The 18,372-nt window shown below is 43.0% G+C and overlaps 1 protein-coding gene across 55 annotated transcripts in view, besides 1 other annotated feature; it reads left to right on the forward strand.

The window, feature by feature from the left end:
- Positions 1-18,372, forward strand: part of LPP (LIM domain containing preferred translocation partner in lipoma) — a 737,651-nt gene that overhangs the window by 55,919 nt on the left and 663,360 nt on the right. For 32 of the 55 annotated variants that reach the window (NR_164692.1, XM_047448103.1, NM_001375457.1 and 29 more), the window contains one exon: positions 16,466-16,588. The exons of 19 other annotated variants lie outside the window; for them this stretch is intronic. Coding sequence is in view for 2 of the 36 variants with exons in the window: in XM_047448097.1 (XP_047304053.1) it covers positions 16,466-16,588 (123 nt within the window). In the remaining 34 variants the exon portion in view is untranslated. Of the gene's footprint in view, positions 1-3,772; positions 3,893-3,956; positions 4,108-16,465; positions 16,589-18,372 lie in introns of those variants that run through there. 4 more of the 55 variants (XM_017006378.2, NM_001387669.1, NM_005578.5 and 1 more) reach the window with 3 other exon arrangements.
- Positions 5,054-5,203: an enhancer, noted in NCBI's record as "active region_20975". NCBI's record gives its function as "activates an Ori minimal core promoter by ATAC-STARR-seq in GM12878 lymphoblastoid cells {active_cell/tissue: GM12878}" and the evidence as "EXISTENCE:reporter gene assay evidence [ECO:0000049][PMID:35858748]".

Genomic DNA, 18,372 nt, shown 5'->3' on the forward strand with positions numbered 1-18,372 from the left:
ATCCCTTACACTTTTATAATGCCTTACCCTTTTCCATAGGGCTTTCACTCTCATTATCTCATATGATCCTTATAACTGCTCTGAGATATAAGCAGAGCGCCTATTTTAATCTCCAATTTTCAGGTGTAGAAACTGAGGTTCAGAATAAAGTTAGCCAGAGTTAAAACAGTTAGTATGTAGCAGAATTGGAAAGGGAGTCTACAGAATTGGAACTGGAGTCTCCTAAACCAGTGTTTCTTTTGCTCCTTATTGCTGGTGTGACCTTGGGAATATACTTAACCTCTCTGAACCTCAGTCTTCCTATCACTAAATTGGGTATAATACTACCTCCTGGGATAGTTGTTGGAAGGGATTCAATGAGACTGGGAAATCATTTAATAAAAGGTAGAACACACTAATAATGGGAGGCATCATTGTACTTACTACATGGGCCTTGACGGCGAACAGTGCCATCAGAACTGTGAAAGAAAATAACATTTTTTCTCTCTTTTTAGAAAGACACAGGTTCAGAATGGTGTTGTCAGGGATCACAAGCTCCCAGCCCCGTGATTAGCAAATTGACCCTGCTGCCCTGTCTGCTGGCTGCTTTCTTATTCTGAGAATTGTGTTGACAAGACCCTCTTTTCCTACAGAGCTCTCTCTTAATGTTGCTTGGAATAGCCTTGTGTCCTGGAGACAGTTTTAGGTCTGGCAGGATCTGAGAACAGGAGTGGGGATCTTGGAATGGGATCTGCATCCCTGAGCTTCATCCACAAAGGGTGGGAATGTGGCTTGGGCTGTGGGGTGGAGGTAGATGAACAGCTGGACTTGCAGGTCTATCTTCTGTTGTTTCTCAATAAAGTAGACAAGTCCATCTGATGGGTGTTTAGTAGGGTATGACTTGTGAGTCCACAAGGCCAGCAGTATATATGCTGAATGGACTGCTTAGCAGTAACACACTGGAAAAATCCAAAAAGAATGGATTTCAAGTTGGCAAAAAATGCATTAGAAGTCAGCAGTGTGATGTGGTCAGGAGAACAACCAGAGTGACTGTGGGATGAGGTCTTGGATAGCTTTGTTTCTATATACAGTCAGCCCTCTGTATCCATGGTTTCTGCATCCATGGATTCAACCAACCAAGGCTCGAAAATATTAAAAAAAAAAAAAATCCAACCATAAAAAAATACAAATAAAAAAACCAATATAATATAACAACTGTTCACATAGCATTTGCATTCTCAGGTATTATAAGTAATCTAGAGATGCTTTAAAGTATACAGGAGATACTACCTCATTTTATATAAAAGACTTGAGCATCTCTGGATTTCGGTATCTCAGGGGTCCTGGAACCAATTCCCCATGGATACTGAGGGAACGAGTGTACATACTCACCTACAAAAATTCCAAACCAGTGAGACAGACATAGGTTGAAATATGGTCCTGAGAGGCAGAACGTGAAGCAAGGGATGGAAGGCCGGGGAGGAACCAGATTTCAGTTCCGTGTAAGGAAGAACTTTCTGATGGAAAGATGGAATTTGCAGTGGCAGGAGATAATGATCTTTGCTTCACTGGAGACCTCAGGAATACCAATGGGGCAGGCACTGGGCTTAATGGCCTTTATGGCCACTTCTAATTTTGAGATCACAGAGCTAGGAGGATGAGAGGCACACATATATTGAAGGAACTGAAGGGTCTCTCTCTATGTGGATGTGGAAACTGATCTCCAAATGTTTGCAAGATGGAGGGTACGTTTAAAATATTTCATTCTGGTTTTCATATTGATCTCTGTGGCTCTCCCCTTGGTCTTTGGTTTTTAAAGCTTAAGACCATTCCCAGAAGCTCTTTTCCATGGAATAATCTCCTTTCTTTGCTGGAATGCTCCTGTTGGGATGCAGGAAGGGACTCTGAGCTCCTGACAGAATGAAGACCACCCCTTTTTGCTCTCCAGACCTAATTTTGACGTCCCACGCCCACCCGCTGAGGAGGGTTGCAATGGCGAGATCTCTGTCCTGAATTCTGGTTCTGGCATGCAGTGGAAGGCCCTCTGATTCTGTTTCCTTACCTATTTTAATAGTAACTTATATTTGTGTTCCTTCATTAAATGTACAATAAATAATAAATGTTTGCTTACGGCATGCTTGTTAAGTATAAAACAAATAATCAAAATGAATGTGTAATGACCCTTTGGATAGACCAAGTAGAAGCTGCTTTTAGGACACATGATTGGACCATTTCTAGATATCTGCCTAATTTGTAAATGAAAAATATGTAAGCTACACAAGGAGCACTGACTCGTCTAAAATCTTAACGACTGACTGATTTGGGCTTGGGGTTTGGGGCTTGGGTCCTTCATGCCCTGATCAGAGCTGTTTATAGCTTGAAGACTTCCTGGGGGTGAGAACAAGCAACCTCTTGGTGCAGTCCAAAGCCAGGAAATGGGTGACGATTTTGAAAAAGGACTCATCTGACCTCCAGAAAGCCTTTACAACCAACAGTAGAACGAGATCACTAAGAAACAGAACCACCGGGAAGCCAAGATGTGGTACTTGGATTCCCATCTCGGAGCACCTCCTATATCCCGACACACCATTTCCCCTAGTGTCTGATCTCTCTTTCTCCTCCTTTAATTCAGTCTGGAGTCATTTTAGATCAGATTCATTCCTGATTGGCTTCACTGCTCCAACTTAGTCATCACAGAACCTTAGGGTTGGAATCCATGTTACAAGTTAAACTGAGCAATTCACCCCCACTTTTCCTGACAACAGTGTTCTCTTGAGAGTCTGGTTTTATTCTGAGTCTTCCAGCCCGGTGTCTGTGCCCATGAAGGACTCATGCCAAATTACATTCTCAGGAGGACTCCCAGACCAAGAGACTCTGGGCTTGGGCGTGAGAGACTTGGGGCTGTTCTTTTTCTTTTTTTTTTTTTGAGAAGAAGTTTCACTCTTATTGCCCAGGCTGACATGGAGTTTCACTCTTATTGCCCAGGCTGGAGTGCAATGGCACAGTCATGGCTCACTGCAACCTCCGCCTCCCGGGTTCAAGTGATACTCCTGCCTCAGCCTCCCAAGTAGCTGGGATTACAGGCACACACCACCATGCCTGGCTAATTTTTGTATTTTTAGTAGAGACCAGTTTTCACCATGTTGGCCAGGCTGGTCTTGAACTCCTGACCTCAGGTGATCCTCCCGCCTTGGTCTCCCAAAGTGCTGGGATTACAGGTGTGAGCCACTGTGCCCGGCCGAGAGGAGTTGTTTTGAGACTCACCTGCCATCATAGGAACCATAGCTTAAATTCTTGTGACCTTTTCAGGTGCATCTCCCAAAATATCTCCCCTCCACCAAATTAATGATTTATTTCATAAATTTAGTTGCATTCTGGATGGTCTCATTCTTAAGATGAGCTTAAAGCCTTTCAGACCAGTCACTTCCTTGTTTGGGGTGGAGGAGGTTTTTTCCTGGAATAGGACAGTGTATGGAAGGGTTGAGAATCCACTTCTTTAGCGGTTAATAATTTACTCCGAGTAAGGAATTCTTTGTTAAAGTGGGGCATGTTCTTCAAGTGCCAGAGAAGAGAGAAGGGTGATTTTTCTGACATCCTCCAGCCTGCTTCTCCATATTTGGAAATGTTTACCCACCAGGCTGATCTATTGGAAGAGAGGGAGGTGACTCAGGGTTTAGGAGAAGCAGGATTTGAATTCTTGTTTCCAGAAACAAAGTCGTCCCCCCACCCTGCCCCCACCCTTCCCCCTTCATTCCTCTGTCCCTTGTTCTGGAAGCTGAGGCGAGAATGTCTCAGTTCTGTTCCCTTCAGGCTTCGAGACCACCGCCTTGCTGTGTCCCGTAGTGGACTGAGGGCCTGCAAGAGGGAGTGAGGGCTAGTGGAGGGCCAGCTGCCTGTGGGGGCTGGACATCGTGTGAGTACATCATTACTGCCATTTCTGCTCACAGACCTGGGGCTTACAGCCTGTGGGCTGGCTCACTTGCATGGTGATGGGACACGTTGCTGGGAGTGCTGGTCACTTTTATTTGGGGGTGTGGACAGCTGCTTTCCCAGGGGAGTACTTCTTACAGTGGGATTTCAAGACAAGATCGGCCTGAAGAAAAATTATATTTGTATATTTTTTAAAAAGTAGGTATTTCCTCTCATCTGAGGCCTAACTTGAGTTGGGTAGAAAGACAATTTGGGAGTGCTGTTGTCTGATGATTAAGGCTAAAGCAACAAGCTGGAAGGGATGTCGGGATGTCTGTGGACATGTAGGGAGGGGTAGTTTTAGCTTGAAAACAGTTATGGTGGGATTTAAGAGTATGCAAAATGTTGATGTGTAGCATTTGCACAGCATCCACGGTCTGGAATACCTTGTGTGCAGGTCACTGTGTAGATTTGATGAGTTGTCAGAGTTGGAAGAGTCCTGCAGAGTTTTCAGCACATCTGTCTAATTTCACAGTGTGAGATAATGGGCAGCAGAGACCCAGGCCCTGAAGACAGATGGCTCATTATGTGGGATTAGAACCCAGATCTTCTCTCTCAGTTCGTTCTCCTTCCCCTAGACTTAAGCTGCCCCCTCTATTGCGAGATGAGGAAATTGGGAGATGTTAGAACTGTCCACACTTACTAATCTAGTTGGTGGGAAATTGAGGACTAGAACCTACTTCTAGTTCAGACCTCTTCCCGTTAGGATATATGGGCTCAGATGCCTAGATTTGTTGTTTTTGTATGAGGCTCTTTTCTTTTCTTTTTGTTCTTTGATTTTTACTTACCTTTCCCTTCTTTTGTTCATGTGAATGTCGTATGAATGCAACCTTCTGCTCTCCTTTGCTCCCTATATCTTTCTCTTTCACGAAAGGGGATGATCACTTGTCCAAAAGGCAGAATGAATAGTGTGGAACTTCCTTTCTATCCATGGAAGTGAAAATTATGCAATTTTCCCTGAGAGAAATTCAGCAAGGCTTCCCATCTGAGCCTCTACCACTATTCTTGAAGCTGTAAGAATTCTGGAATATTATGCCCATTCAAAGGTGAGTCCTGATTCTGATTAGATTTTAAACACACACACACACACACACACACACACACACACACACACTTTTTAAGCCTACCAAAGCAGGATAGAGACCCAGAAGACACCGACCTATTACGTCACCTCAGATGTTTCACAGCCATCAGGAGTAACTCTTTGTAGTCAGCTCAGTTTCAGATCAACTTTTTTTTTTTTCTTTCTTTCTTTTTTAGACAGAGTCTTGCTCTATCGCCCAGGCTGGCTGGAGTGCAATGGCGCGATCTCGGCTCACTGCAACCTCCGCCTCCTGGGTTCAAGCGATTCTCCTGCCTCAGCCTCCTGAGTAACTGGGATTACAGGCATGCACCACTAGGCCTGGCTAATTTTTGTATTTTTAGTAGAGACAGGGTTTCACCACGTTGGCCAGGCTGGTCTCAAACTCCTGACCTCAGGTGATCTGCCTGCCTTGGCCTCCCAAAGTGCTGGGATTACAGGCATGAGCTGCTGCACCTGGCCTCGGATCAACTTGAGGGCCTTATTTTCCAGTGCAGGGAAGATGGTAGAAATATGTTTTGGGGAAGCATTTTATTACCAGTGGCATTAGGTGGCAGATGTAATAGAGCAGAGGAAGTGCTCTGAGACCTATGTTTGTTCTGGCCAGTTTTAAAGAGAGGGGAAGCGACTCTCTAATCTGCTTTGAAGCAAGTGGGAGGAGGGAAGTTGCACAGGACTCCCAGGAACCTGTACACAATCTGTCTCCTTCTGTGACCAGCTGAGGCTGGGTGGTGACTGTAAGCCCTGTTCATGAGACAGGAGGAGAGAGCCTTGAAGAAGGAAAGCCTGGGGTGTTTTTCTGTGGTGCTGAGGGACAGGGACAGTAAGAGGTTGGAGTAAATAATACCAGTATGAATACTAATACTCTGAATAAGGACAGCTGACAAGCATTGGTTGCTTAATGGGTGCCAAGCACAGGGCTAAACACTTTACCTAAATTATTGTGGCACTATAGCTGCCTTTGAGTAGGAACTATTTTTTAAAATATTATTTTTAATTTTGGTGTAATACATATAAAATTTGCCATCTTGATGGTTTTTAAGAGTACAGTTCAAGCCTGGGCATGGTGGCTCACGCCTGTAATCCCAGCACTTTGAGAGGCCGAGGTGGGCAGATCACTTGAGCCCAGGAATTCAAGTCCAGCTTGGCCAACGTGATGAATCCCCACCTCTACTAAAAATACAAACATTAGCTGGGCCTGGTTGCATGCACCTGTGGTCCCAGCTACTCAGAAGGTGGGGATGGGAGGATTGCTTGAATCCAGGGAGTGGAGGTTGCAGTGAGCCAAGATTGCCCCACTGCACTTTAACCTGGATGACAGATCGAGACCCTGTCTCAGAAAAAGAAAAAAAAAAAAGAGTACAGTTCAGCAGTGTTAAATACATTCATATTGCTGTGTAATCAGTCTCCAGGCCTCTTTCATCTTGCAATCTGAAACTTTGTACCTATAAGCAACAGCTACCCATTTTCCTCTCCTCCAGCCCCTGGCATCCTCCATTCTACTTTCTTTCTCTATGAATGTGACTACTCTAGGTTCTGTATCTAAGTGGAATCATACCGTATTTGTCTTTTTGTGACTGGCTTATTTCACTAAGCGTAGTGTCCTTAAGGTTCATCCATGTTGTAGCATGGGTCAGAATTTCTCCTTTTTAAGGGTGAATTATATTCTGTGGTAATGAATATACCACATTTTGTCTATCCATTTAGGTACTATTTTTTAACCTCCATGTTATAGAAGAACAGCAACCAGAGACTTCAAAGGGTTAATTAAGTAAGTGGCCCAAAGTCACATAGTCAGTAGTGGAGACTAATTTTACCTAAGAATGGCATGTGATCAGGAGTAAGCAGATATTGGATTCTAATTGGCAAGAGTGTGACAAATCAGGGTGCTTCTCAACTGGATGGTGACACCTCCTTACACCTTGCTATGGCATTTCAATAAAGCAAGTGTTCCAAAGGGCTGTACGCAGCTATGCTTCCTTTCTTTTGTATTGGGCTCTAGGAAGCCCATAGCTAAATTTAAAGCTCACCTCTAGCAAATGGTATGAGACATCCAGCTCTTATTTTTTGTATCCCTTTCTCCTTTCTTTGCTTTATTTTCTCCTCTCCTTACCCACTTTCTCACTTAAATCATGAACTATTAGCATCTTTTGTCAGGTACCTCAGATCATTTCTGGAACAAGGCAGAATATATAGATATGTGGCATGATATCTAATATTTTAGTAATTATTAAGTCTGTGGAATAGTAGGCCAAAACTGGCCATGATTTTTCTGACTTGACTCTGCTCGTCTTCTTCTTCTTCCTTTTTTTTTTTTTTTTTTGATGGAGTCTCACTCTCTTGCCTAGACTGGAGTGCAGGGCGTGATCTTGGCTCACTGCAACCTCTGCTTCATGGGTTCAAGCCATTCTCCTGCCTCAGCCTCCCGAGTAGCTAGGACTACAGGCACTTGCCACTACACCCCACTAATTTTTGTATTTTTAGTAGAGACGGGGTTTCACCATGTTGACCAGGCTGGTTTTCAACTCCTGACCTCAGGTGATCTGCCTGCTTCAGCCTCCCAAAGTGATGGGATTACAGGCATGAGCCACCACACCCCACCTAACTCTGCTCATAATGCAATGTTTCATCTGGGCAATGCCCTGCCCCTTTCTGAGTCTCACTTTTCTCACCTGAAAGAGGAGGTTACTGTTGATGACAGTGAACATTTAGGCTGTGCTGAGTTTTACACTAAGCATCCTGTCTCTAACTCTCCCAACACTCCCACAAGGCAGGTGCTATTATCCCCATTTTACTTTTGAGAAAATTAAGGCCTAAAGAAGTGAGAAAGCTTGTCCAAACCGCTATAGCTCTTGGGCAAAGGCATTAGTGACCAATGTGTATTTGACTCCAAAGCCCAGGATGTTAGCCACAGTGCAGGGCTACTATCCTTTTATACAATCTGTCAGGCTTCTTCCATCCGTGGCATGTATTCATCTAATTTTATTAAATCTTTATTGAGTTTCCACTTAGGTGCCTTGCACTGTTCTGGGCATTATCCCAGTACTCGATTTAGAGCAAAGAGTAAGACACACACAACAACGATCTCTTGGTGCTTACACGCTGCTGCAGGTGTGTGAAGGAGGCAGATAAAGGAACACTTAAACAAGAGGGACTGATAAGTAACCCAAGGGAGGAGTCACAAAGGGCATTCTGACTGTGAGTGAGTGGGGAAGGACTCTGGGAGGTTATGTTTAAGCTGAGATCTGAGTGACAAGGAGGCCACCTTGTAGAAGTTGGGGGAAGAGCACTGCAGGCAGTGGAGACGGTCAATGCAAAGGTCAAGGCTGTGAAGTGGGAAGGAGTTTGTGTTTGAGGAACAGAAGGAGACTGATGTGCTGGCAGGATGTGGGCTGCAGGGGAAGAAGCAGGAGAAAAGAATAGGGTCTAGCAGGTGGTGGTAAGTGAGAGACCTGAGCTTCTTAGACCTGAGTCCAGATGTGATGGGTTATGTGTTACAGGCATCTTTCCAGCTGCTGTGGAGGGAACCTGATAGTAAAAGGGAGTCAAGGGTAGAAGCAAGAAGGTTAGGCTAGACTTTTACCGTAATTCAGGTGTGATGTGGTGGTAACTTTGACTAGGGCATAGAAGTTGGGCAGGAGAGGTAAGTTTGGGGCATGTTTGGGAGTGATCGTCTATAGGATCTCAAGTGTGATTTCCTTCAGAGAAATGCTGAGCTAAATGGGCAGGAATCTGGGATACTCAGAGGGAAATGAAAATAGGTGCCCTAGGGGGTTGCCCAGATAAGCAGCTGGCGTTCCAAGACCAAAGAGTATCTGTTTCTCACCCCTCTCCCATTTAGTTTCTAACCTTGAGCTTTGGGCCAGTGCACAGAGGATGGTGGCTTCCTGCCTTTGGCTTCCCAGCTGAGAGCTGTTGGAACGCCCCAAAATAAGCCCTGCAGAACGTGCAGCTTCCTTTGCTCTCCCTGGGTATTTTTGTAAAACATTCTTTCCCACCAAGAATGAGGAACGTTCAGAGTGATGCTGACTTTATGGGCTGTATTTAACATGTTGTTTTTTCATGGTGTTGTCTGTTCATGCAGAGATTTCTGTCTCCTGTAAACTCCCTGGTAAGGAATCTTCAATCTCCATGTGAGATGGGTCTGGAAGGCTCAGTGGGAGCCCAGAAGAGCTGGGGTTTGAAAGCCTCTCCTTGTCTTGAGGACTGGACTGCGGTCCAAGGGCACCTACCAGCCCTCTTTTTTCATTTACATTTGAATTCACAGTTGCTGCCCTTTGGCAGTTCCCTGTAATTCCTTTTAACAGGCTGGGCTTTCCTGCAGATACTTCATTTTTCAGGTCTTGGAGAAGTTAGGTAGTGGCTGAATCAGGTAGAGAATCCAAAATTCTGACCAAGCCCCATCCTCTAGCCACCAGGCCAAAGCAACTTAGCTTGTGACCTCATCCTCCTGTGTATCCCCTGGCAATCTTATACTATAATCAGCCTAAGCCCAGAGATGCTCAGAAATCATACACTAAGTCATCTAAAACTCATTTCTGAGGCTTTCTCATGCGCCCCTCTTGCAGTCTGTAGTTACCAGGTTTTCAAATAATTAGCATAATCTCTTAAAAACAGTGTTTTGTTATTGCTCATTCAAGTTTCTTCTAAAATTTCTTTTATATTACCTATTCATTGAGTTGACAAACATTTATTGAGTTCTTACTGTATGCCAGGCATTGTGCTAGGTGCTGGGGATTGATTCAAAGATAATTTGGAGGCGTATGGAAGGGGAGTGGATAATTACAGCACAGTGAGATAAGTGCTATAATAGGGGGATATATAAAGAGCCAGAAATAGCACTATGAATAACATCTTTGAACAAATTGCCTTCTTTTTTCCTTTTGGATTATTCCCTTATGTATATTGCCCAAAGTGGGATTACTGGGTCATTTAAAAGATGAAAACAATTTGGCACAAAAAGATGTAATGACTTGCCTGGGGAATACAGCTCAATTTTCAACAGAGAAAGAAAAAATTGTTGACAAATCCAGATTTAGATCACTTTACCAGGAAGATGGGGCAGTTTTTATACTACCCTTTCAACATGGTGGCTTTTAGGGGCGGGGTGGGGGGGATTTATTCTAAACATGTTAGCCTGCGTGTAGGAATCACACGTCCTCATATTTAATCTCACAACTTGATTGTTCTCACAAGAACCTAGCTGTATACATATTATCGTTTCCATTTTACAAATGAAGAAACTGCACCCTTGATAAAAGGAAGTAAGTTGCTCAAAATTCCATAGTTAATAAGTGTAGAATCCAAGGGTCAAGCACAGTTCCTTTTATTCTTTGACTCTATCCTGTTCCCCATGCTGTGTTTACCAATTGAGGGTACCTGTGCTCTAGCCGGGGCCCGGAATTTAATATTTAATGAGTCACGGAGGCTCTTAAGATGATGGTCAGGCTCTATGAAATAGGTGTAGATTTTCTTACCTCTGAAGTCATAGCCAGGGAACAATGTCTTTCTGTATATTGACCTGAAAGGACCCAAGGGCGCATTATTCCTGACCCTGGCTCAGGTGCTGAAAGGCTATTTGCATAGCCCTACTGTTAGAGCACAGAATCCCAAGTAAAGCTGAAACCATGCCACAGTTTTGCTGTGAAACATTTATTACTTTTCTAGTACTTAACAGTATTAAGTAAAAACTCCTGCCCCTGGTATCCAGGACCTGTCATAAATGGACACCAACATCGGTCCACTGTGGGTCCATGTGGGTCCTTGATGCTCCTGCTTACATATCTTTAAATCAAACACATTTCCTACCAACCCCCAGATATATCTTGCACTTTCTCACCTTCATGCCTTAGCACATGCCTTTCCTTTAGCCTGAGATAACCTCTCCAATCTTCATTCATAGAACTCCCAATCCTCCTGTAAACTTCTGCACAGACGCCATCTTGGGAAGGGAATAATCCTTGATCACCACCTGCTCTCCCATCCATTAGAAGTGATCTCTGTGTTCTCTGTTCTGCTAACTCAACCACAGTTAGCTGTGAGGCAATAGAGTACAAATGTATGCTGCATATGAGCATGGGATATGGATTTGAATCCCGGCTGTGATACTTCCTCACTGTCAGTTAACTTGCTTGAGCCTGAGTTTTCCCATCTGCCAGATGGGTGTGATACAATAGGTGCTCCCCCTGAAACCCACCATGTTGACAGGAGTAGTATAAAAATGGTCTGATTCTCCCGGTGAGGTCACGTAAATCTGGAATCGTCAACAATTTTCCTTTCCTTTGTTGTCATGACTTTTTTTTATGACATCACCTCATGTCATGTCACCGTGTGGTATGAAAATTTGCATTGTTACCTGTGCTTCTTCTGTGGCACTTGTCCTCCCTTACTTGATGTCTTATCTCTCCTTCTAGACTGGGAGCTCTTCAAGGGCAGGGAGGGCATTGCATCTTTGAAGGCCTTGACATATGGATACTGCTACAAAGTTTCCTTTAAGGGAAAGGAGGATTCCATACAACCTAAGTGGTGACATCAGCACAGGCTCATTACTAATCTCATGTCACGAGGTTTCAGGCCTGGCTGAGAACTCTGTGAGCTCTGTGATGTTGAGCTTCAGGCACATAGAGTACAAGCTGGGTAGGCCTCTGGCTCCTGCTTAAGAGACAGCAGAAAGGCTGGATGGAGCCTGTCTCCAGACCAGCTTCTTCTGATTCAAGGAGTTGGGTGGGACTGGCAGTTCACTGAAGGCAGAGTGGTAGTCCTGCTTGGAACGTGAAACTTTGTTTCTTTCCTGGGCCTTCCAGTGGGTCTGTTATGTTGGTGAGAGTTTCAGACCTAGAGGAAAGGGTCACTGAAGGTATGGGTTAAGAGCAACTCTGAAAGCCACCTGCCCCCCGACTTCTCTGTGAGTGGGGCCACAGGGAGAAGATCCCTTCATAGGTAGCTCCCCTACCCTTGCTATGCTTGGAAACTGACCATGGAAAGGGATTCATTTCTTAAAGGGATAGGGCTACCATTTAACTTTCTATTGTGTCACTTCCCGAAACGCAACACCTATGGCTTAAGATCCAAGTGCTTTAGAACATGAGATACAAGGTCTTCCAGGCTCTGGCTGCCACATCCCTTTCCAGGCGTGTGTCCCACCACATTCCTCTGCATCCTCTGTCACTGGCCTCACCAGATTAGTCACTTTCTCTGAGAACACCCTGAACTCATCCTTCTCAAGGCCTTTGCACATTGTGTTCCCTGAGCCTATTTTTCTCCTCCTCATCCGTGGAAATCCTCTTGGGTGTTCAGGCATCGTTTAGAAGTCACATCATCTGCAGAGAACTTTTAGACCCTCAAAAGGACGTTGCATGTACTCGTGCTTTTCTACACTTTTCATTCTGTCTTTTGTGTTCCAGTGTGTCCCCCATTGAGGCTCTTCGACACCCCTAGGCATGTCCAACTCAGCACCTACACCTGCTAGGTCCACACACTGTGTTATCCAAGACAGAAGGTGTTAGCAAACCTCTCTTTGGTGCGCCCCTGAATGCAGAACATGTGACATTCTGTTAACTAACAGTTGTGCCAGAGTGGTTTCCATAGCCCATACTGGGGTTCCCATGATTTGTTTGATCATGAGCCCGGCCATTCGAATTGTTTTTGAATTGGTCTGATATCAGCTAGTTAATTGTTAACCCTTTTCAGGTTTGTTTCCCACATACCAGTAGATGTCTGCTTAGTGCCAGGGTTCTGAGCTTTTTATTTCACTTAAGAATATAATAGCAAGGTAGAATTCAGGAAAGATTTACTTGCTGTTAATGTGAACTTTTAAAAAAATAGTTTGAAATGTAGGCTTTGTTTTTATCCCAAAGCTCCATGAAATATGAAAATAGCAGGAGTTTTAAAGGTATATTTCCACCTCTAGAGGAAGAACTGTCCATATTATAGTTGTAATTATAAATTAATAAAGCCTGTGTCATGAAACTTGATTTTGAACGCCTGTGTTCAAATCCTGGCTTTACCACTTACTAGCCTAGAGATATTGGATGAGTGTCTAACTTCTCCGTTCCTCAGTTTCTTCAGTGTTCAATTGGGAAATTTTTCTTATGGTTGATGGAAAGTTTAAATAAGGTCTTGGATATGAAACTGGGATTTTATTAGTGTGTGTGTTTCAAAATGTGGATTTGGAGGCCATTTAAAAATAGCATTTCCAAAAAGTTTGCTTTTAAAGCAAAGTACTTAGATATATAAATTTTTATGAATTTTTTTTCAAATGATAAAATAAATGAGTTTACAGTCAGGAGACATACAGTATCTAACAAACTTAGGGAATATGCTTGGCTTACAAGACGTGGTTTTAGTCCACATAAATTAGAATCACAGAACTATAGGCTTTGAGAAATTATAAAAGCCTTGGAAGGGGTGAACGTGAATTAGTGCATATTGTGTGCAGGCTTTGTGCCATACGTGCTAGATATGGGATCCCAGGAAATGGTTGCATACACCTTGTTGGGTAGATGATATTAACCCTGTTTTGCAGACAGAGAAACCTGAGCTTTGAGAAAATCCTTTACACAAGTCCAATATCAAAGTCTGGAACTTCAAACTGCACTCCTGATGGCTTCTAGAAATCCTTTCCATTTACAGATATGACAAGACTTGCTTTCACATTGTTGATTTTTTTTTTATCCTCTCTTTCTCTGTCTCTGGGGGCAGCACTAATTCAGGGCCAGATAGAACTGTGAAAATCTGCAGTGTTGATGTCACATAACTTGTTTAATGAATCTAGATTAGTGTCTTGACTTTTCCTGCCAAGAATCTGCTCATAAAGTGTCTTGTTTTGAGCTCCTTTAACTGTACTCATTCATCAGCCTTTACTTATTTTCTTCTCTTTTGGAGAGATACTTGCCATTGCCCATAATGTTTGAGGTCAGGAGTATATTTGAAGAGGGCTTTATATTTTCTTAAAAAAAATACAGGTGGAAAATCAAGTTTATCAGCTATTTCATACCATCTTCTTCTGCCATTTATGGGCAACATGTGGAAGAGGTGGCAGGGAGCTGGGAGTTTGGAATAATGTGTCTCATCTTGAATTTGTCGCTGACCAGGGAAAATACTCAAGGCCAACTCCATCATTCCCTTTTGGGAATTCGGTGCTTCAGCTGTAAAGAGTGAGGGCACTACTAGGTGATTCCTAAGATTTAAAATTCTGCATGTTTTGTGGTGTCAAAACCATCAATTTCTGGTGAGCTGCGTGATCCTGCAGCTGTTTCTCTGATACTTTTCAATCTTTAGATTTAATCTATTCAACAATGTATAATTTTTTAAAGGGAAGCTTTTATAGATACTTCTGAACTATAACCGGGTGGGGGGGATAAATGGATGTTAAAAAATAGAAAACAACCAATTAAATAGTATATAGCATGTAATTCTCCTTGGAAACTTACCACGAAATTGAGAAGCACTTTAACAACTGGTAATTTAAATTGCGTTTGAACTCTGCTAATGGTTTGTTTGCATGGGAACTTCAATCATTTCACAGTGGTTCTTTAGCAAAGCTGCTTGTTCTCTTTATGGAAAATAAGAAAAAATTATTAAAAGAGAAGTTGGCTATGGAAAATGGAGACCACTTTCATTTGTGCCTGGAGGGAAGCTGGAGAGTGTGAGTGAGACTCCCTCAGGGCCAAGGGTGGAGAGCTCTTCCTTTCAGTGAAGTTTAAAAATCTGGGAAGTCAGATGCCCTTTGCTGCTGTTGTAGAAACTGTTGTGATTTGTATCTCTCTCTGCAAGGAGAAGCTTTGGTTTTATGCAGCTTGCGGGTGAGGGTAGGGACAACCTTTTTCGTTTGTTTTATGAAATTGCATTGTTCACAGGTCTAATGTTGGCTTCCTAACAACCCATTTCTCAGTAAGTTTGAAATTATGCCTCTCTCTCCTTTCAGTGGAAATGGCTTTCAGAATTCCAATGTCCTTGAAGACCACTAGGTCTCAGGAAACTCCTTGCTTTTCTGGGCTGATAGTGATTATACTCCATTTTGCCTACTTAATTTCTGTCTGCTGTTGAGGTTACTGGGAGAGCGTTGAAATAGGTGTTCGAGGCCTGGATTTGTAAGTCCTGGTTTGGCTCTAGGTGTGACTCATGTGACCAAGCACAAGTCCCTCTGCCCAGTGTGTTTTGTTGTCCTTTGTCAAAGCAAGCAGTCACTTGATCCAGTGGATCAAGTGGCTCCTGAAGAGGTCACCTCCTTACCCAGGCCACCGGGTTCTCTTGTCAGTTGGAAAAGTTGAGGTGGGTCATTTAAAAAATCCCTCCCAACTTTGAACTTGGAATTGTTTTGTACACAAAACAATTGTATGATTGGCTAGGTAATGTTTACAGTGACAACAATGAAATGGGCATGGTAGTTTCTCGTATGTGGATTTCTCCTGCATACATGAAAGACAAGTTTTATAACAGCCCTTGCCTTGGGATACTTGTCTGTTGGCATACATACTGTGTAATCATTAGCAAAACAATAATAGTTGCTAATGAAATAAAACCTGTAATAAGGGCTGTATTAGGCTATTCTAGCATTGCCATAAAGAAATAGCTGAGGCTCGGTAATCTATAAGAAAGAAGGTGTAATTGGGTCATGGTTCTGCAGTCTGTATAAGCATGGCACTGGCATCTGCTTGGCTTCTGGGAAGACCTCAGGGAGCTTTTACTCATGGCTGAAGGCAAAGGAGGAGCAGGTGTCTCAGATGGCAAAAGCAGGAGCAAGAGAGGGAGTAGGCAGAGGAGTTGCCACACACTTTTAAATGACCAGATATCATGAGAACACACTCGTGATCGTGAGGACAGCACCAAGAGGATGGTGCTAAACCATTCATGAGAAATCCGCCCCCATCATCCAATCACCTCTGCAGGCCCCACCTCCAACAGCAGGTATTACAACTCAACATGAAATTCAGAGGGGACACATATCCAAATGATATCAAGGACGGCTTACTGGGAAATGTCAAGATTGTTTATCCCTCTGCTGCTCACTGATTCTCACTTTTCAGGCAAGGAAACTAAAGTTCAAAGAACATTAGGTCCTATAGTTAGAAATTTGTCTCCAAACTCATATTCCTTTTCTTTTTTTATTTGGTATAGTTTAGGTTTATCTGTTAATTTTTTTCTTCCCTACAATTTGAGTATCTAACTGACTTGCCTCTTTCACCTCCATTATTAAGATGAAGCTGTTTTCCCAGGAGAACTAGGAGAGCTGAGATATGAACACTGAGGCATCAGCATTCTCTTTCCCCATCATTCTGAGTCAAATTAGTGAAATAAGAGTGCCAGGATCTGACTAGGAGTTTAGGAGGTATAGAAGTAAACCACGGCCCAGTCAGAGACTTTATAAGCCTGGGAATTTCTGAAGCTGGTTAAGACCCTAGAGATACATAAGCAACACCCTTCTGTTTTTCATAGGTGGGAACTTTGAGGCTCAGAGACAGAGCAGAAGACAGAACCTGGTCTTCTGATTCCCTGTGTTCTGCTTTTTTCATTGTTCCACTGGACGCTCATCAGAGGGAAGATCTTTTTCCTCAATTGGTGAGTCCCGCACACAAAAAGAACACATTTGCCTTTTAAAATCAATGTATATGTTTTAATGAGTTTTAAACATCAGTGTTTTCCACTTAAAGTATGGGCATCAGTAACTAGGATGCATTAAGAATAAGAGAAGAACTGAAATGCCCTTCCTTCTTTCTTGAGTTGCTTTTATGGCAATAGACAATATATAACCATGCTAATAAAATGTGTGGCAAAGCAAAGGCAGAGCTCAGCTCTTGGAAGGTGGTAGCATTGAACTTGGAGGAAAATTTGGAGTAACGATGATTTCAGGTTGCCAGCAATTGTATTGCCTCCTTCTTTCTCATTTGGCATGGAAGAAAGTGTTCATGAAATGGAAAGACCAAAATGAAAATGTCACTGAACAGTGTTTGGGCATTTACAAGGAAAGAAAGCAGTATTATTGAGTGTCTCTTGTTTGCCCTTGTGCAAAGTGCTGCTTCTTTTGTGATCTCATTTCATTTTATGTATTTATTTTTTTGAGATGGAGTCTTGCTCTGTTGCCCATTCTGGGGTGCAGTGGTGCCATCTTGGCTCACTGCAACCTCCACCTCCCAGGTTCAAGCGATTCTCCTGCCTCAGCCTCCCGAGCAGCTGGGACTACAGGCACATACCACCATGCCTGGCTAATTTTTGTATTTTCAGTAGAGATGGGGTTTCACCATGATGGCCAGGCTGGTCTTGAACTCCTGACCTCAGGTAATCCACCCGCCTCAGCCTCCCAAATTGCTGGGATTATAGGTGTGAGCCACTGCGCCCAGCCTCATTTTATTTCTATAACAACCCTTTGGGGCAGAGCAGGCTAAATTTGCTTAGGCAAAGGGTGTGAGCCTTTGTTTTAAAGGGCCTGCCAGAGCTCCACCAGGATGTGAGGTGCAAATCCTGTTATGTGCTCAGAAAGGAGAATTGTGACCAGGTAAGGTAAACTTTCCCTTGTGTTTTGGTGTACCTCTGTACTTAATGGGTAGAGTAGAACATTATGTTCTAAAAAATCGGGGTGGTAAAAAGAATCAACAGTGTGGAATACCCTGGGCTCTAAGGAAAGCTGAGGAAATTAGTAAGGGAATTCTGGGTGCGACTTCCACTTAGGATCCTGATTCGATGGTCCCCATTGGCTGAGGCCAATTCATATATGCCCCCAGCATTGGCTTTGTACTGAGTAATTAATACACCTTGACATATTTGTGGTGTAGTTTTCCAAAACAGAGATGATGCCATTGTGATTGAAAAAAAACTAACTTCATTTAAAAGTGTGACTGAGTTTATAGATGTGTTTTGTCTCTCTGTCTTTTCTTAATCAGTGTATCTTAAAAGTACAACTGACTGTGTGCCTATTGATCTATATTACATAAAAGGCTGGAAACCACTGGTTTGATGCTTAAACCTTAGTGTCTGTTAAAATTTCAAACATGATCTGGAATATATTCCCCCTAGCATACGTTTAAGTATCAAATGAAAAATCTTTGTCACCTCCTCTATGTCTTGAGTTTTTTCAGTGTTTATAATTAAACTGTGATAAGTATGAAGCTTTGCACTTGGACTTAAAAAAATCAAGTGTGTAATGATAGAAAGGGAGAGATTTCCTTAACAAGAGCAGACTGGAAGAGACTTTTATTTATTTATTTTATTTTTATTTTTTATTTATTTATTATTATTTATACTTTAAGTTTTAGGGTACCTGTGCACAATGTGCAGGTTAGTTACATATGTATACATGTGCCATGCTGGTGTGCTGCACCCACTAACTCGTCATCTAGCATTAGGTA

This window comes from Homo sapiens, chromosome 3 (assembly GCF_000001405.40).
Source record: "Homo sapiens chromosome 3, GRCh38.p14 Primary Assembly".
Taxonomy (NCBI): Eukaryota; Metazoa; Chordata; class Mammalia; order Primates; family Hominidae; genus Homo; species Homo sapiens.